The sequence below is a fragment of the Homo sapiens genome, chromosome 21 (assembly GCF_000001405.40).
Source record: "Homo sapiens chromosome 21, GRCh38.p14 Primary Assembly".
Classification (NCBI taxonomy): Eukaryota; Metazoa; Chordata; class Mammalia; order Primates; family Hominidae; genus Homo; species Homo sapiens.
The window spans coordinates 36,314,716-36,334,713 of NC_000021.9; the positions used below are offsets into that span (position 1 = coordinate 36,314,716).

Below are 19,998 nucleotides of genomic sequence, written 5' to 3' on the forward strand. Positions count from 1 at the left end.
TAACCCTGTAATATAGTTTGAAGTCAGGTAGCATAATGCCTCCAGCTTTGTTCTTTTTGCTTAGGATTGTCTTGGCTATATGGGCTCTTTTTTGATTCCATATGAAATTTAAATTAGCTCCTTCAGGAGCTCTTGTAAGGCAGGCCTAGTGGTGACAAAATCTCAGCATTTGCTTGTCTGTAAAGGATTTTGTTTTTCCTTTGCTTATGAAGCTTAGTTTGGCTGGATATGAAATTCTGGGTTGAAAATTCTTTTCTTTAAGATTGTTGAATATTGGCCCCCACTCTCTTCTGGCTTGTAGAGTTTCTGTAGAGAGATTCACTCTTAGTCTGATGGGCTTCCCTTTGTGGGTAACCCGACCTTTCTCTCTGGCTGCCCTTAACATTTTTTCCTTCATTTCAACCTTGGTGAAACTAACGATTATGTGTCTTGGGGTTGCTCTTCTTAAGGAGTATCTTTGTGGTGTTCTCTGTATTTCCTGAATTTGAATGTTGGCCTGCCTTGCTAGGTTGAGGAAGTCCTCCTGGATAATATCCTGAAGAGTATTTTCCAACTTGGTTCCATTCTCCCCATCATTTTCAGGTACACCAATCAAACGTAGGTTTGATCTTTTCACATAGCCCCATATTTCTTGGAGGCTTTGTTCGTTCCTTTTCATTCTTTTTTCTCTAATCTTGTCTTCACGCTTTATTTCATTATGTTGATCTTCAATCTATGATATCCTTTCTTCCGCTTGATTGATTTGACTAGTGATACTTATGTATGCTTCACGAAGTTCTTGTGCTGTGTTTTTCAGCTCCATCAGGTCATGCATGTTCTTCTCTAAACTGGGTTTTCTAGTTAGCAATTCATCTAACCTTTTTCAAGGTTCTTAGCTTCCTTGCATTGGGTTAGAACATGCTCCTTTAGCTCAGAGGAGTTTGTCATTACCCACCTTTTGAAGCCTACTTCTGTTAATTTGTCAAAGTCATTCTCCATCCAGTTTTATTCCCTTGCTGGCAAGGAACTGTGATCCTTTGGAGGAGAAGAGGCGTTCTGGTTTTTGGAATTTTCAGCCTTTTTTGCGCTGGTTTCTCCTCATCTTCGTGGATTTATCTACCTTTGGTCTTTGATGTTGCTGACCTTCAGATGGGGTGTCTGTGTGGACGTCCTTCTTGTTTATGTTTATGCTATTGCTTTCTGTTTGTTAGTTTTCCTTCTAATAGTCAGGCCTCTCTGCTGCAGGTCTGCTGGAGTTTGCTGGAGGTCCACTCCAGACCCTGTTTGCCTGGGTATCACCAGCAGAGGTTGCAGAACAGCAAAGATTGCTGCCTGTTCCTTCCTCTGGAAGCTTCGTCCCAGAGGGGCACCCACCAGATGCCAGTGGGAGCTCTCCTGTATGAGGTGTCTGTCAATCCCTGGTGGGAGGTGTCTCCTAGTCAGGTGGCAGAAGGGTCAGGGACCCACTTGAGGAGGCAGTCTGTCCCTTAGCAGAGCTCAAGCACTGTGCTGGGAGATCTGCTGCTCTCTTCAGAGCTGGCAGGCAGGGATGTTTAATTCCGCCGAAGCTGCACCCACAGCCACCCCTTCCCCCAGGTGTTCTGTCCCAGGGAGATGGGAGTTTTATCTATAAGCCCCTGACTGGGGTTGCTGCCTTTCTTTCAGAAATGCCCTGCCCAGAGAGGAGGAATCTAGAGAGGCAGTCTGGCTATGGAGGCTTTGCTGAGCTGCAGTGGGCTCCCCACCAGTTCGAACTTCCCTGCAGTTTTGTTTACACTGTGAGGGGAAAACTGCCTACTCAAGCTTCAGTAATGGTGGATGCCCCCACCCTTCACTAAGCTTAAGCGTCCCAGGTCGACTTCAGATTGCTGTGCTGGCAGTGAGAATTTCAGGCCAGTGGATCTTAGCTTGCTGGGCTCTGTGGGGTTGGGATCCGTTGAGCTAGACCACTTGGTTCCCTGGCTTCAGCCCCCTTTCCAGGGGAGTGAACGGTTCTGTCTCACTGGCATTCCAGGCGTCACTGGGGTATGAAAAAAAACTGCAGCTAGCTCAGTGTCTGCTCAAATGGCCACCCAATTTTGTGCTTGAAACCCAGGGTCCTGGTGGTGTAGGCACCCAGGGGAGTCTCCTGGTGTGCAGGTTGTGAAGACTGTGGGAAAAGTGTAGTAGTATCTGGGCTGGAGTGCACCGTTCCTCAAGGCACAGTTCCTCCCAGCTTCCCTTGGGTAGAGGAGGGAGTTCCCCGGCCCCTTGCACTTCCCGGGTGAGGTGACGCCCCACCCTGCTTCTGTTCACCCTCTGTGGGCTGCACCCACTGTCTAAGCAGTCTCAATGAGATGAGCCGGGTACCTCAGTTGGAAATGCATCAATCACCTGCCTTCTGCGTTGGTCTCACTGGGAGACAAGCTGCAGACAAGAGCTGTTCCTATTCGGCCATCTTGCTACTCCCCCCTCTGTTGTTCTTAAACGGACACACTCGTGCATGTTGTTCCACTTGCTCCTGTCTTGGGGTTGATGAGGATGCCTTTTAGCTGTTTTTTTTATTTTTTTATTTTTGAGATAGAGTCTCACTCTGTTGCCCAGGCTGGAGTGCGATCCTCCCACCTCAGCCTCCCGAGCAGTTAGGACTACAGGTGTGCACCACCACGCCCAGAAAATTTTTTAATTTTTTTATTTTTTTTGTGGAGATGGGGTCTCCCCATGTTGCCCAGGCTGGTCTCCTGGGCTCGAGTGATCCGCCCATCTCAGCCTCCCAAAGTGCTGGGGTTACAGGCTTGAGACATGACACCCAGCCCTCTATGTGTTTTTATGGAGGGATTTATGTAGTGGTATTTTTGGGGTGGCTCAAAAACCATGTCCTCACACTATCTTTCCAGAATCCTCTCAACCTTAGGAAAATTTGAAGACATACTCTATTGTACAACAGGTTGTGCAGACCAGTCTGTTGTACAATAGGTTATGTCATCAATTCATCACTATCCTACTGCACTTCATCAATTCATCACTATCCTACTGCACTCTCTGTCTCCAATGCCAGGCTCTAATTACACTTGTCCCATATCAGTTCCTCAAACATGAGCAGCCCTTTCCAAATCTCTAGGCCTCTGCTGTTGTTTTTCTGGAATTGCAGAGTTGTGTCTCCCTCGAATGCTGTCCCTCTGAATTCTTTGGAAATTCCTCTCTATCCTGGTTACTTACTTCTTTGATCGGGCATGGTGGCTCACGACTATAATTCCAGCACTTCGGGAGGCCAAAGAAGGTGGAGCACTTGAGCCCAGGAGTTCAAGGCCAGCATGGGCAACACAGCAAGACCCCTTTCTCTATAAAAAATATTTTAAAAATCAGCTGAGTGTGGTGGCACACACCCGTTGTCCCAACTACTTGGGAGACTAAGGCGGGAGGATTGCTTGAACCCAAGAGTTCAAGGTTGCAGTGAGCTATGATTGTGCCACTGTACTCCAGCCTGGGCAACAGAGTCTCTAGAAAAAGAAAAAAATCCAGGCCAGGCGCGGTGGCTCACGCCTGTAATCCCAGCACTTTGGGAGGCAGAGGCGGGCGGATCACGAGGTCAGGAGATCGAGACCACGGTGAAACCCCGTCTCTACTAAAAATACAAAAAATTAGCTGGGCGCAGTGGCGGGCGCCTGTAGTCCCAGCTACTCGGGAGGCTGAGGCAGGAGAATGGCGTGAACCCGGAAGGCGGAGCTTGCAGTGAGCCGAGATCATTCCACTGCACTCCAGCCTGGGCGACAGAGCGAGACTCGGTCTCCAAAAAAAAAAAAAGAAAAAAAAATCCATTCTCTTTTGTTTCTTTTTCCTTTTTGAGACGAGAGTCTCGCTCTGTTGCCCAGACTGAGTGCAGTGGTGAGAACATGGCTCATTACAGCCTCAGTCTCCCAGGGTCAAGTAGTCCTCCCCACCTCAGCCTCCCAAGTAGCTGGAACCACAGGCGTGCGCCCCCAAGCACAATTAATTTTTTTTTTTTTTTGAGATGGAGTTTCGCTCTTGTTGTCCCGGCTGGAGTGCAGTGGTGTGATCTTGGCTCACCGCAACCTCCACCTCCTGGGTTCAAGTGATTCTCCTGCCTCAGCCTCTCCAGTAGCTGGGATTACGGGCATGTGCCACCACACCCGGCTAATTTTGTATTTTTAGTAGAGATGGGGTTTCGCCATGTTGGTCAGGCTGGTCTCAAACACCCGACCTCAAGTGATCTGCCCGCCTTAGCCTCCCAAGGTGCTGGGATTACAGGTGTGAGCCACCACGCCCTGCCAGCTAATTCAATTTTTTTTTTGTAAAGATGAGGTCTCCTCGTGTTGCCCAGGCTCGTCTCGAACTCCTGGGTTCAAGAGACCCTCGCAATGTAGCCTCTCAAAGTGCTGAGATTACAGACATGAGCCACTGCACCCAGCCAATTTCTCTTTCTAAAAATAATTAATTTTTTTGAGACAGTCTCACTCTGTCGCCCAGGCTGGAGTACAGTGGCGCGATCTGGGCTCACTGCAACCTCCTTGTCCTGGGTTCACCCACTTCTCCTGCCTCAGCCCCCCGAGTAGCTGGGATTACAGGCGCCCACTAATATGCCCAGCTAATTTTTGTATTTTTAGTAGAGATGGGGTTTCACCATGTTGGCCAGGCTGGTCTTGAACCCCTATCAAGTGAACCCCCAACCTCGACCTCCCAATGTGTTGGGATTATAGGCATGAGCCACTGCACCGGCCTTATGCCTTTAGGACTCTTATTTATTTATTTTGAGACGGAGTTTCACTCTTGTTGCCCAGGGTGGAGTGCAATGGCGCAATCTCGGCTCATTGCAACCTCCGCCTCCTGGGTTCAAGCATTCTCCTGCTTCAGCCTTCCGAGTAGCTGGGATTACAGGCATGTACCACCACGCCCGGCTAATTTTGTATTTTTAGTAGAGATGGGATTTCTCCATGTTGGTCAGGCTGGTCTCGAACTCCCGAAGTCAGGTGATCCGCCCGCCCACCTCGGCCTCCCAAAGTGCTGGGATTACAAGCGTGAGCTACCGCGCCCGGCCCCAGAACTCTTTTTTTTTTTTTTAAATCATGAGTTAGATTGATAGTTTTCAGGGCAAATCCAAACAGTCTACATTAATTTCCGTCTTTATTTCGTTAAGGTTTCACATGGACACTGGTGGATATGGAATGGCTTTTTTCTGCGCAATTCACATCCGACCAGGTCAAGTGACTGGAGTTCACCGGTCTCGGGTATACCGCATCTCGCGCCAGGCTTCAAACTCTAGATCCCCGAGTCTCGAGCTCCAGCTGGGTGTCGAGACGGGTACGGGCCGGCCGCGCCTCGCGCATGCGCCCTAGGCCCGCAGGGCCCCGCGCTGGAAGCTCAGCTCCCACTGTACCCTGCTTTAACCAGTCAGGCAATTCATCTTCCCCAAGCTCCCAATTCGGCATTGCCTGGAGGCGGAAGTGGGTGGGAGGGGCCAGACGTGCGCCCCTCCCCGGAAGTGGGCGGTACCCATAGGGCTCCACAGTCGTTCCGCCACCTCCCAGTCGGGTTGCGGCGGAGGCCGTTCCTGGCTTTGTAGCTCGCTCAAGATGGCGGCGCAGCCACCCCGCGGGATACGCCTCAGCGCGGTGAGCAGCCGCGAGGGGTGGAGCGGGCCGTGTCCCAGGAGGGCGGGCGGGCAAGCGAAGGGGGGCCGGCAGTGGGCGGTGGCGGCTTGTGGGGCCGACGCGGCGGCGGGGGCTGCGGCGGGGCCCGGGGAGGGGGCGGCCATCTCGCTCCCGTCGGCGGAACAGCTCGGCTGCGGGCCGGGCTGCGTTCCGTCGCCTCTGCATTGTGTTTCTGTTTTGCTTCGGGGCGGGCCAGGGTCGCGGCTCCTCCTCCCAGCTCCCTCCTAGTCTCCCAGCAGCTGTCGTCCGCGGGCGAGGCCTCGGCGGGAGATCGGTCTGCTCTCGGGGCCGCGGGGCCCCTGACCCTCTTCTGTCCGCTGGGCGTCGTGGTGGGAGGGAGCGGGTTCCGCGTCCAGAAACGCCGGCGGCCTCGACGTCCCGGGGGCGGGGGGACGGGGCTGCGGGCCTGCCTGCGGGCGAGTGGAGTCAGGATGAGTGTGCCTGATGCCTGTCAGTGCCTGCAGCTTCCTTGGCAGTGGAAGCCTTGGGGCCCAGACCCTAGATCGCTGAGCTCGAGCTCTCCTCTTTATCCCGCGTTGCGTCTGTTTTGGGGCGTTTCGAGTTCTTGGAAACCCTGTGAACATTTCTTGTATCTTAAATCGTAGGGAGCGGTCACACAAGATAACTTGAAATCTCACGTCCAGGAAATGTGGGCGTGGCTTCCCCACCTGATTATCCTAAAAAACTTTTCTACCTTGTGAGCGCAGTTGATGTTATGCTGAAATGTTCCTCTTTTCTGGAGGTTGTTGACTTTTGCCAAAGAATGACTGCCCTAGTGCCACTAATTTTAACATTCGAATGGGTAGTGACTCCTTGGGGTACAAACACGTAGTGAATAATTGGTGCATTGCTCTGGGACTTTCATTCGTTTAGGCAGATTCTAACACCTGGTTTTGACGGACTTTAAATTTTTTCTAGTCCGATATTTGTGAAATGATATTTGCTTTTACTTGCGTTTCCTTGACTGTTTGTGTTGTTGAGCTCTTCGCATGTATTAGTCTTTGTGGTTTTTTGTTTTGTTTTTTTGAATTGCCTATTCATATCCTTTGACCATTTTCTGTTTTTCTTTTGGGAGGATCTTTATTGATTTGTAAGAGTTCTTTACGTATTCTGGATAAAGGTCCATCCTTTCGTTATGTAACTAGCTTATTGAGTGAGCTAGGCTTTAGTAGTTTGAAAATAGAGGACAATTTTATTCTTTTTTTCTTTTTTTTTTTTTTAACCACTGAGTGTAAACATTAATTATTCCCCACTTGTGTGAATCTGGGTTGACTAACGCTTTCCCATTAGCTTAAGGTATTGTAAAGTCTGGCCTTACCTAGTTTAAAATCTCTATTCTCTCTCCCTCCCTTTTCCCCCTCTCTTTCCCCTATCTCCTTTCCCCACTTCTCTCTCCTTCCTCTCTCGAGGTTGAGTCTTGTTCAGGCCCAGAAACCTGTAGTGGAGAAACGGAGTGAGTTGATTTCCTGTTTCTGTCCTTTGATTCTCTTCTCCCTTCCCGCCCCCAGGCCCTTGTAGACTCTGGCTCTTCAAGATTGAGGGGAGAAAGGAAGCAGAGATAATGGTCAGTGTTTAGAGACCAGCATTGTTAGCGGGCACTCTGGGTGTAGCTGCTGTCCATGTGCTGGGTCTTTGTTTTGTGGGTAATATGGGCTGTTGGGAACCTGACTGACAGAAATCTCCCATCTGCAGCCTCTTTGCTTTTGCTTTAGGTCAGGAGTTGGCAAACTACATACAGCTCATGGGCCAAATCCAGCCCAGCACCTGTTTTTGTGTGGCCTGAAGGCTAAGAGTGATTTATACATTTGTAAATGGTTGAGAAAAAAAGAAGAATGTTTAGTGACATAAAAATTATGCGAAATACAAATTTCAGTTTCCATAAAATTTTATTGGAATATAGCCAGAAACATTATTTGCTTATAGTTTTCAAATGCATGCGTTAAGAGATAAAAATTAATGAGCTTATGTATTTGTCAAAAGTCCTACATTTTAAGGCACAAAGGGTGAACCCTTAGTGTATACACTTTTTTATTTTATTTTATTTTTTTGAGGTAGAGTTTCACTCAGTCTCCAGGCTGGAGTGCAGTGGCACGATCTCGGCTCACTGCAGCCTCCACCTCCCGGATTCAAGCACTTCTTCTGCCTCAGCCTCCCGAGTAGCTGGGTTTACACGCGTGGGCCACCACACCCGGCTAATTTTGGTATTTTTAGTATATATAGAGTTTCACCATGTTGGCCAGGCTGGTCTCAAATTCCCAACCTCAGGTGATCCTCCTGCCTTGGCCTCCTAAAGCACTGCGATTACAGGCCTGAGCCACTGTGCCCGGCCCAATGTATACACATTTTAAACAGTCATTTAGGAGGTCGGAGATCCCAGGATGAAATGCAGAGTGACAAAAAGTTTTTAAATTTTTTGCTTTTTACCCCTGTAATTCTAGTGAAATGAAATGCATATACTTTGGTTTTTGTTGTTGATTTTTTTTTTCAGAAATGCTGCTGTGGATTTAGCTGATGCACACTCTTCACCACCTCCCATACTTCAATGCTTTTTTCACTTTTTTTGGTTGAATTACTATATGGTTTGTTATTACTCTTACAAATGAGCTAGCCAGGGTAGTATGATTGCATTTTCTTTCCTATACAAACCTTTTGTTTTCCCTGAAGTTAATTGATTTATATTTTGTTTTCTTAGTTTTTCTCTGTACTGATCATCCAGACATCCAGAGAACTGGGAGCTCTTTTCCAGATGGATTCAGACACACCCAGTGTTTTGTCATTTGGAAGTCAGTTGGGAGTCATCGGCTCAGTCGTAATTTGGGGACTTCCCTTTAACATCTGTCTGGAAATTTCCTTCCTCTTTTCATGTGTCTCCATCTCACATATCCTTCTGTCTGATATGTAGCTTAGTGACTGCCATTCTGAAGCCTACTCTCTCGGGTTCAAATCCTGACTCATAACCAGATGTATGTCCTTGGCCAAGTCATTTAACCTCTTTGTGCCAGAGTTTCCAATCTGAATGTTGGCAATAATAATCTTACACACCTCAAAGTGTTGTTTTAAAAATTACATGAGCAGATAGATAAATAAAAGGGCTGTGCGTGCCGTAGGTGCACAATAATGTTTGCTGTTTTTGTTATTGTTAGTGGTGGAGAATATCCACCACTAACAATAACACCACTTCCAGAAACAGGTGTAGCTTCCTGAAAAAAGGGTTCATGGGAAGAAAAAAATTTCATCATTTCTTGAAAATACATTCATGCTACCCTTGCTCTTTCTTTAATTATAATTTGGCTGGATTTGCATTCTGGATTGGAAATTCTTTCCGAATTTTAAAGACGTGCTTGATTGTTTAATAGAGCCTCTGCATTTTATTGGGCACTTAGCCTGGAAGCTCAAGTCCTTAACATCTGGAAAATGTTCTTACTTATTTTGACAATTTTCTTCGCACCATTTTTCTCTTTTTTTATTTACTGTCTTATTGTTTTTCCTCTTGGGGGATTTCCTCTACTTATCTCCTACCTTGCTCTTACCATAGTGTTTTTTTTTTTTAGAGACGGAGTTTCGCTCTTGTTGCCCAGACTGGAGTGCAAGGGCGTGATCTCGGCTCACCGCAACCCCTGCCTCCCGGGTTCAAGCGATTCTCCCGCCTCAGCCTCCCGAGTAGCTGGGATTGCAGGCATGCGCCACCACGTCTGGCTGATTTTGTATTTTTAGTAGAGATGGGGTTTCTCCATGTTGGTCAGGCTGGTCTTGAACTTCCGACCTCAGGTAATCTGCCCGCCCTGGCCTCCCAAAGTGCTGGGATGACAGGCATGAGGCACCGAGCCCGGCCACCATAGTTTTAATTGTTACAAGCAATGTCTTAGCTTTTGAATGTCTTTTTGAATTCTCCCTGGACAAAATGTTCATTCTTATTGCTAGATACATTAACTGTAGTTTTTTTTTTTTTTGAGATGGAGTCTTCTCGCTCTGTCGTCCAGGCTGGAGTGCAGTGGCGCGATCTCGGCTCACTGCAAGCTCCGCCTCCCAGGTTCACGCCATTCTCCTGCCTCAGCCTCCCGAGTAGCTGGGACTACAAGCACCTGCCACGTTGCCTGGTTAATTTTTTGTATTTTTAGTAGAGACGGGGTTTCACCGTGTTAGCCAGGATGGTCTTGATCTCCTGACCTCGTGATCTGCCTGCCTCGGCCTCCCAAAGTGCTGGGATTACAGGCGTGAGCCACCATGCCTGGCCTAACCGTAGTATTTTTGAAGTTTTGTTTTGCTCACTGCATTATCTCTATTTTCTTCATGTTTCTTTTACTGTGTATTGTTTTTGGTTTCTAATTTTAAACACTCTCAAATGTCTGGAAACAGCCTTCTCATTTTTTTTTTTTTTTTTGAGCCGGGAGTTTCACTCTTGTTGCCCAGGCTGGAGTGCAGTGGCATGATCTCAGCTCACTGCAATCTCCACTTCCCAGGTTCAAGCAGTTCTCCTGCCTCAGCCTCCCAAGTAGCTGGGATTACAGGCATGCGCCACCATGCCTGGCTAATTTTTTGTGTTTTTAATAGAGATGGTGTTTTACCATGTTGGCCTGGCTGATCTTGAACTCCTGACCTCAACTGATCCACCCGCCTCGGCCTCCCAAAGTGCTGGGATTACAGGCGTGAGCCACCGCGCCTGGCAGCCTTCTCACATTTTTAAGTGAGACACTTAAAGCTGACTGCAAAATTTTCATACATGAATAGAGCTAGTCCTTTGGTGGGCTTCACTGTTGGGTGATCACATAGGAAGGAGTCATTTTGTTGGGGGTGCTCTATGTTGGTATTTGTAGACCATAAAAAATGGGAACTGTTGGACCATAAGTATATTTTTAAAAACTGAAAATTTTAAAAAGTAATTTTAAAAAACGAGAACAACAAAAACAAGATGCTATCCAGAAAAGCCAGGCGGAATTGCTAAGAACCAAATAGAACTTTGAGAAATCAGCTTCCCAAGGAGGAATTCTACGTCTGGTCTCCTGCCATGGCATAATTCTGGCTGCTAGCTCTTGGAAATTGGCATGAAAGGAAGAAAGGCGTATCACATTGTTCAGTTTGCTGACTTGCTGTTTGTTTGATTATTTGTTTATTATTGTAATAAAACACATGTAGCAAACAATTTATGCTAACCATTTTAAAGTTTCAATTCAGTAGTGCTAAGTACATTCACATGGTTGTGTAATAACCAGTCTCCAGAACTCTTCTTGTTGGGAAACTAAAACCCTGTTCCCGTTAAATAGTAACTTCTCCAGCACCTGACAAACACTATTCTACTTTCTGTCTAGGAATTTGACTACGGTAGTCCCCCCTTATCTGCAGTTTTGCTTTCTTCGGTTTTAATTACCCAAAGTCAACCATGGTCTGAAAGTATTAAATGGAAAATTGTAGAAATAGTTCATAAATTCTAAACTGTGCCCCCATCTGAGTAGCACCTGGAATGTGAATCATCCCTTTGTCCAGTGTATCCACACTGTGGATATATGATGCCAACCTATTAGTCACTTAGTAGCTGTGGTTATCAGATTTGCTGTTGTTGTATCATTCTATTTTATTATTAAATTATTGTTAATTTGGGCGCAGTGGCTCACGCCTCAGCACTTTGGGAGGCCGAGGCAGGGGGATCACTTGAGGTCAGGAGTTCGAGACCAGCCTGGCCAACATGGTGAAACCCAGTCTCTACTAAAAATACAAAAATTATTTGGGCATGGTGGTGGGTGCCTGTAATCCCAGCTACTTGGGAGGCTGAGGCGGGAGAATCGCTTGAACCCGGGAGGTGGAGGTTGCAGTGAGCTGAGATCGCGCCATTGCACTCTAGCCTGGGCAACAAGAGTGAAACTTATTCTCAAACAAAAAAAATAGAATAAATTATTGTTAATTTGGCCAGGCTCGGTGGCTCATGCCTGTAATCCCAGCACTTTGGGAGGCTAAGGCGGGCAGATCACTTGAGATCAGGAGTTTGAGACCAGCCTGGCCAACATGGTGAAACCCCATCTTTACCAAAAATAAAAAAAAATTAGCCGGGCATGGTGACACACAACCGTGGTCCCAGCTACTCCAGAGGCTGAGGCAGGAGAATCGCTTGAACCTGAAGGTGAAAGTTGCAGTGAGCCACACCACCGCACTCCAGCCTGGACAACAGAGCAAGACTCCATCTCTATATAAATAAATAATAAAATGTTTATTTCTTACTGTGCCTTATTTATAAGTTGAACTTTATCATACATATGTATACTGCAGTTTTAGGAATCCACTGAGGGTCTTGAGATGCATTCTCTGAGAATAAGGGGAGACTGCTGTACTCCTATCAGTGGAATTATACAATATTTGACTTGTGACTGCCTTATTCATTAATGTCTTCACGGTTCATCCATGTTGTAGTGTGCGTTAGGATTTCCTTGTTTGCTTAAGGTGAATATTTTATTGTATGTCAGAAGACAACATTATAAATTTAAAGATTTTTTTTTTTTTTTGAGACCGAGTCTCGCTCTGTCGCCTAGGCTGGAGTGCATTGGTGCGATCTCGGCTCACTGCAACCTCTGCTTCCCGGGTTTAAGCGATTCTTGTGCCTCAGCCTCCCTAGTAGCTGGGTTTACAGGCACCTGCCACCACGCCCGGCTAATTTTCGTATTTTTAGTAGAGACGGGTTTTGCCATGTTGCCCAGGCTGGTCTTGAACTCTTGACCTCAGGTGATCCGCCCACCTCAGCCTCCCAAAGTGCGGGGGTTACAGCAGGCGTGAGCCAGCGCGCCTGGCCTCAAATTTAAATTTAAAGATATTAATTGGCTTTATTTCTTTTTTTTTTTTTTTTTTTTTTTTTTTGAGACAGACACTCCCAGGCTGGAGTGTAGTGGTGAGATCTCTCAGCTCACTGCAACCTCTTCCTCCCATGTTCAAGCAATTCTCCTGCCACAGCCTCCTGAGTAGCTGGGATTACAGGCGCTCACCACCACACCTGGCTAATTTTTTTGGCTTTTGGTAGAGACGGGGTTTTGCCATGTTGGCCAGGCTCGTCTCCTAACCTCAAGTGTTCTGCCCGCCTCAGCCTCCCAAAGTGCTGGGATTACAGGAGTGAACCACCGTGCTTGGCCTTTATTTCCTATTCTGGAATTGGGCAACACTTCTTCCATAAAATACAGTAAGTGTTCTAGTGAACTGAACAGAGGAGGCTGGCTTTGTAGACAGAAAAAGGCCGAAAGAAAGCAGAAACAAAGAACAAAAAGCAGATACGTCATTTCAAAGTTAAAAACAATAGATAAATAACTGACTGACATTAGGTTACTTTTTGTTGTAAAACAACAAAATGGAGGGAACTTATTATCTGTCATACCAGTTGATGACTGAAACTGACCTGTTCGGTAAATTGGCTGTTATCTCCCTTGATTTCGCTGAAGGTCAGATAACAACTTAGTTTCAGTTTGGTGACTGAAATTTTAGCATGGGTGACTCCATTTTGATTTTTAGTCTGTTTTTGGAGGCCTAGAGCAGGAGCTTAGTCCAAAACAGTGGCCTCCTTTTTTGTTTTTTTTTTTCTGAGACAGAGTCTTGTTCTGTTGCCCAGTCTGGAGTGCAGTGGCATGATCTTGGCTCACTGCAACCTCTGCCTCCTGGGTTCAAGTGATTGCCATGCCTCAGCCACCCAAGTAGCTGGGATTACAGGTGTGTGCCACCAGGTCTAGCTAATTTTTGTATTTTTAGTAGAGACGGGGTTTCACCATGTTGGCCAGGCTGGTCTCAAACACCTGACGTCAAATGATCCACCTGCCGCGGCCTCCCAAAGTCCTGGGATTATAGGTGTGAGCCACCACGCCCAGCTGTCCTATATTTTTTATTTCACATTTACATACATTTGATATGATCAAAAATGTATATTTGTTCTTTGTCCTGGTTCTTGGCACTGGAGTTCCTGAAATCTTTGGTATTTCCTGATAACTATGAGTGGAACATCTTTTGTTATTTATAATAATAAGCCCCCCCCCGCCTTTTTTTTTTTTTTTTTTAACCACACCTTAGTTCATGCTCCCTCTGTCGCCCAGGCTGGAGTGCAGTGGCGCCATCGCAGTCTCCACCTACTGGGTTCAAGTGATTCTCCCGCTTCAGCCTCCCCAGTAGCTGGGACACAGGCGCGCACCACCACGCCTGGATATTTTTTGTATTTTTAGTAGAGACAAGGTTTCGCCATGTTGGCCAGGCTGGTCTTGAACTCCTAACCTCAGTTGACCTACTCACCTCGGCTTCCCAAAGTGGTGGGATTACAGGCATGAGCCACCGCGCCTGGCCAATTTTTTGTATTTTTAATAGAGACAGGGTTTCACCATGTCAACGAGGCTGGTCTTGTACTCCTGACCTCTGGTGATCCACTTGCCTCAGCCTCCCAAAGTGCTGGGATTACAGGTGTGAGCCACTGGGCCCAGTCTGTAATATCCTTTACATTGTATCTTTTAGCTTCCCTGGGCCACATTGGAAGAATTGTCTTGGGCCACATTGGAAGAAGAATTGTCTTGGGCCACACACACATAAAATATACTAACGATAGCTGATGAGGTAAAAAAAAAAAAAAGAAAAAGAAATTGTAACGATAGCTGATGAACTACAACAACAACAAAAAAAATCACGAAAGAAACTTCATAACGTTTTAAGAAAGTTTACAGGCCGGGCAGGGTGGCTCATGCCTGTAATCCCAGCACTTTGGGAGGCCGAGGTGGGCGGATCGCCTGAGGTCGGCAGTTCGAGACCAGCGTGGCCAGCATGGTGAAATCATGTCTCTACCAAAAATACAAAAAAATTAGCTGGGCGTGGTGGCAGTTGCCTGTAATCTCAGCTACTTGGGAAGCTGTGGCAGGAGAATCGCTTGAACCCGGGAGGCAGAGGTTGCAGTGAGCCGAGATTATGTCATTGCACTCCAGCCTGGGCAACAGAGCGAGACTCCATCTCAAAAACAAAAAAAAAAAAAGAAAGTTTACAAATTTGTGTTGGGCTGCATTCAAAGCTGTCCTGGGCCACATGCATCCCATGGGGGCTGAGGGTTGGACAGGCTTGCTTTACAATGAATCAGTGTTTTTTTTGGGTTTTGTGAGCATTATAGCACATTATCAAACATGAGGGGAATCATGTGAATGCCCAATTTATGGTTGGTCTGTCAGAAGTACAGGAGACTAAGGGTTTATAGTAGTTGACTAATTTCTCCTTGTTTGGTAGTATAAACCAAAAATAAAATTCTAAGGCTCTTCCAACCATTTTAATGGACTTCCTTCTCAGCCAGGGCACTCTTAACATTTAATCTGAAAGACTAGTTCAGGCCATGACAGGAAGTTGGGGTCAGACCTGCTTCATTATACTGCTCTGGCGTAACATCACATAACAAGGAAAGAAATAAAAATAATTCTAAATAGATTTCCTTGTCATATCTTGAAATTGCCTTGCAAAGTTTGTCTCTTGTGGAAAAAAATGTACATTGTGTAGAGAATCCTCTTTTCCCTTTTTTCTTTTCTTTTTTTGTTTTTTTTTGTTTTTGTTTTTGAGACGGAGTTTCGCTCTTGTTGCCCAGATTGGAGTGCAATGACCTGATCTCAGCTCACTGTAACCTCCGCCTCCTGAGTTCAAGCAACTCTCCTGCCTCAACCTCCCAAGTAGGTGAGATTACAGGCATGAGCCACCAGGCCCAGCTAATTTTGCATTTTTAGTAAAGATGGGGTTTTATCATGTTGGTCAGGCTGGTCTCAAACTGCTGACCTTGGGTGATCCACCAGCCTTGGCCTCCCAAAGCGCTGGGATTACAGGTGTGAGCCACCAGACCCGTCCTGAGCCACCGCACCTGGCCATTCCCTTTTTTTTTTCTTTCCAGATCCAGGAGATAATCAATTAAGAGTCAGGCACCCTTTTCAGTCTCATAAGAAAACATTTTACAGCCTCTTCTGTCTTATGCCTGCTAGCTAAGAGCTTCCTCTGCGTAGTAAAACTTTGGTCTCCACAATCCTTGTCTTAACCCAAACATTTCCTCTCTGTTGATCCCAGGTCCTTAGACAAACTCAACCAATCTTAACCAGAAAATGTATAAATTTACCTATAGCCTGGAAGTCCCCGCTTTGACTTGTCTCGCCTTTCTGAAACAAACCAATGTACATCTTAAATGTATTTCATTGATACCTCATACCACCCTAAAATATATAAAACCAGGCTGCTCCCCGACCACCTCAGGCACATGTTCTCAGGACCACCTGAGGGCTGTGTCATGGGCCATGGTCACTCATATTTGGCTCAGAATAAACATCTTCAAATATTTTACAAACTTTGACTCTTTTTAGTCGACAGTAGCCAGAGGTTTTACACCCCAAGGCCATGTCCCATGGTTAAGATGTAGAGTGGGGGAGGAGTGTATCATTCTTTTATCAGTGGTAGAATGATATTTGTACAGGGGAGAAGGTGGGACAGGAAAGTTTTCCTGATGGCTCACTTTTGAAAAAAGACTTCTTGTGCAAGATGAAGAGCTAGAAATTTAGTTTCATTAAGAACTGTTTGTGATGTGTGCTTTAGAAAGTCTTGAGTTACCTATACTCCATATTTCACGGATGTATGCTGTATTATGTGATGTCTGCCAGAGCAAGTCTAAATTGCATATATACCAGTTTGAACAGTCTTCTTCAGGATACTGTTTCTCACTTGTGTGCTTCAACTTAATGGTAAATGAAGGTTTTGGAATTGTCCAGAAGCAAGTGTGGACAGAGGAGAAGTAGACCTTTCTGACACCTTGTGGCAGCACGTGAGCACTACAGATGTGGTTGGCTTGATCTACAGTCTAATCATATTTTTAGGGCTCTTCACACTGCAAAGTGCTTTCCACCTTTTTTCCCCTTATTAGGAGAGAATCTGTTCAGAATGAACAAAAAAATTGCATGAAAATTCTCTGCATACTGAAATTTTTAAGGCTCTGCCTTTTAAAACTACTTGTGTGTTTTTGGCCAGGCACGGTGGCTCATGCCTGTAATCCCAGCACTTTGGGAGGCTGAGGTAGGCAGATCACGAGGTCAGGAGATTGAGACCATCCTGCCTAACACGGTGAAACCCCGTCTCTACTAAAAATACAAAAAATTAGCTGGGCATGGTGGTGGGCACCTGTAGTCCCAGCTACTCGGGAGGCTGAGGCAGGAGAATGGTGTAAGTAAACCCGGCGGGCGGAGCTTGCAGTGAGCTGAGATGGCGCCACTGCACTCCAGCCTGGGCAGCAGAGCGAGACTCCATCTCAAAAAAACAAAAAACAAACAAAAAAACTACTTGTGTGTTTTTATACATTTGGTACGTACCACTACTCAGGAACTTAAGAGAGTTCCCAATAGCATGAGGTTGACTGGCATATTCTTCCATAATGAATTGTGAGTAAAATCAGGCATAAAAGCCTTGGGAATTAAGATGCAATGCAAATTTGTTGCATTGCGTTCAAACGAAAAACCTTAGACAAGTTAAAGTTTTATTGAGCAAAGAATGATTCAAGAATTGGGCACATTGGGCATAGTGGCCCACTCCTGCAATCCCAGCACTTTGGGAGGCCAATGTGGGAGGATCACTTGAGGCTGGGAGTTGGAGACCAGCCTGGGCAACACAGTGAGACTCCTGTCTCTACAAAAAAGTATAAAATTAGCCAGGCATAGTGGTCCATGCCTGTGGTCCCAGCTACTCGGGAGGCTGAGGGAGGAGAATCACTTGAACTCAGGAGTTCAAGGCTGCAGTGAGCTATGATTGCACTACTGCACTGCAGCCTGGGCAGCAGAGAGAGACTATCTCTGAAAAAAATAAGAGGCTGGGTGTGGTGGCTTACACCTGTAATCCCAGCACTTTGGGAGGCTGAAGAGGGTGAATCACTTGAGGCCAGGAGTTTGAGACCAGCCTGGTCAACATGGCGAAACCCCTTATCTACTAAAAATACAAAAAATTAGCCATGTGTGGTGGTGCGCACCTGTAATCCCAGCAACTCGGGAGTCTGAGGCAGGAGAACCGCTTGAACCCAGGAGGCGGAGGTTGCAGTCAGCCGAAATTGTGCCACTGCGTTACAGCCTAGGTGACAGAGTGTGATTCTGTCTCAGAAAAAAAATAGGACAGGCTTCAGAACCGGAACAGGTTCTAAGCACTCTGGCCTGCAACGTGATCAGGCAATATTTATGGACAAAACAAAAGTGAGATACAGAAATAGTTTAATTGGTTGCAGCTTGGCATTTTGCCTTATTTAAATCAGCTGGTGACCTGTGATTGACCGAAGATGGGATTCTGTAGTTGACTGAGACTCAGCTGTTTGTTACTGGAGTACAAATTGCCCTAAGTTAGAAGAATTTGTACAGTTAGTTTTCATACTATTAGGTTGTAGTTCCTTATGTACTGACTCGAGTATGGAGGCATCCTCAGGCCAAGTTTAGTTTAGTTTAACAATTGGAACTCTTTCTTTTTTTTTTTTTTTGAGATGGAGTCTCGCTCTGTTGCCCAGGCTGGAGTGCAGTGGCACGATCTTGGCTCACTGCAAGCTCCATCTCCTAGGTTCATGCCATTCTCCTGCCTCAGCCTCCCGAGTAGCTGGGACTACAGGCGCCCATCACCACGCCCAGGTACTTTTTTTGTATTTTTAGTAGAGACGGGTTTCACCATGTTAGCCAGGATGGTCTCGATCTCCTGACCTCGTGATCTGCCCGCCTCGGCCTCCCAAAGTGGTGGGATTACAGGCATGAGCCACTGCGCCCGGCCAACAATTGTAACTCTTATTTGAATTCTTTGAAGAGTTTGTAGATGTATACTACTACACTGCTACAAGTTCAGCTATAATGAACTTGGAGTAAATAATGAAGTCACAGTGCCAGAAAAACTTAGTGATCAAGCACAGTTAAGTTTATTAGGCCTGATACACGTAGGAGAAAGTGCCTCCTTGACAAAGTCTTAGTTGTGTCTCAGAATAGAGAAATTAGGAAATGGTGTTTATAGGATTTTAGGGCCTTGGCTGGATCATTTTAAGGTAGGTCTTGGCAAGGTATGTCCCTATTTGGGATTGGACAGTTATGACATTGTAGACATAAAGAGGGCAAGGGTTTTGAACCAAGTCTTGGTGAGTAAGCTGTTTAGTTGGTTCCCAGTGTTATCTTCCAAGAATCGTATATTCTAGATTGTATCTTCCAGATGTATCCTGGAGCAAGCAGCTAAGTCACTTTTGTTTGGTCTCAATGTTGTTTAACACAGGGATAAAAATACTGGTTTTTATTTTCAAAAGTAAGACCTGAATTAATTTACATGGACCTTTTGTTTGTTTCAGCTTTGCCCGAAGTTTTTACATACAAATTCTACTAGTCACACCTGGCCATTCAGTGCAGTTGCTGAATTAATAGGTATGTAGTTTGACATTTCATATACCATTTGTTGCTTACAATTGTAGTGTTTTTTTTTTTGTTTTGTTTTGTTTTTTTTTTTTAAACAGAGTCTCTCTCTGTCGCCCAGGCTGGAGTGCAGTGGCGCAGTCTCGGCTCACTGCAAGCTCTGCCTCCTGGGTACACGCTATTCTCCTGCCTCAGCCTCCTGAGTAGCTGGGACTACAGGCACCTGCCACCACGACCAGCTAATTTTTTTGTATTTTTTTTTAGTAGAGACGGGGTTTCACTGTGTTAGCCAGGATGGTCTCGATCTCCTGACCTCGTGATCCGCCTGCCTCAGCCTCCCAAAGTGCTGGGATTACAGGTGTGAGCCACCGCACCCGGCCTACAAAAATATTTTAAAAATCAGCTGGGTATGGTGGTGCAGGCCTGTGGTCCCGGCTACTCAGGAGGCTGAGGTGGGAGGATCACGTGAGACCGGGAAGTTGAGGCTGCAATGAGCCGTGATTGTGCCATTGCATTCCAGCCTGGGCAGGCGACAAAGCAAGAAAAAAAACAGATACCTTGAATGATAACATTAATGATAAAAATTGCATAGCATAACAGCTATTCACATGGATGTCAGATTAGTCACTGTTCAGCTTTCTCTTTAATACTACCCAAGTATTTCATAGTGTTTAGGATTTACTTTGCTAAGTTCCTGAAGTGTTTATATTGAAAATATTTTTATTTTTATTATAAAAGTAAACAGTGAGAATTATGGGGAATTTGTTTGCTTATTTTGAGATGAGGTCTCACCATGTTGTCCAGGCTGGTCTCAAACTCCTGGGCTCAGGCGATCCTCCCACCTCAGCCTCAGGAGTATCTGGGATGACAAGTGTGCACCACAGTGACTGGCAGAATTATGTTTATTAGTAGTACAAAAGTATGTGTAACATACAGCATGGATTCATTTTTCTGGTATCAATAGGAGGATTGGTATTGTGTTAGATATGTAATAAGTTCTTGCTTCT

The 19,998-nt window shown here is 46.0% G+C and overlaps 1 protein-coding gene across 3 annotated transcripts in view, besides 1 other annotated feature; it reads left to right on the plus strand.

Moving 5' to 3' along the window:
- The first annotated feature begins 5,481 nt into the window (after window positions 1-5,481).
- MORC3 (MORC family CW-type zinc finger 3) overlaps window positions 5,482-19,998 on the plus strand; it is a 56,436-nt gene continuing 41,919 nt past the window's right edge. The window contains exons 1-3 of one of the 3 annotated variants that reach the window (NM_001320446.2): window positions 5,482-5,588; window positions 15,193-15,278; window positions 18,931-19,003. Coding sequence is in view for 1 of the 3 variants with exons in the window: in NM_015358.3 (NP_056173.1) it covers window positions 5,550-5,588; window positions 18,931-19,003 (112 nt within the window). In the remaining 2 variants the exon portion in view is untranslated. The remainder of the gene's footprint in view (window positions 5,589-15,192; window positions 15,279-18,930; window positions 19,004-19,998) is intronic. The other 2 variants (NM_015358.3, NM_001320445.2) reach the window with 2 other exon arrangements.
- Window positions 5,606-6,065: a silencer, noted in NCBI's record as "silent region_13284". NCBI's record gives its function as "represses an Ori minimal core promoter by ATAC-STARR-seq in GM12878 lymphoblastoid cells {active_cell/tissue: GM12878}" and the evidence as "EXISTENCE:reporter gene assay evidence [ECO:0000049][PMID:35858748]".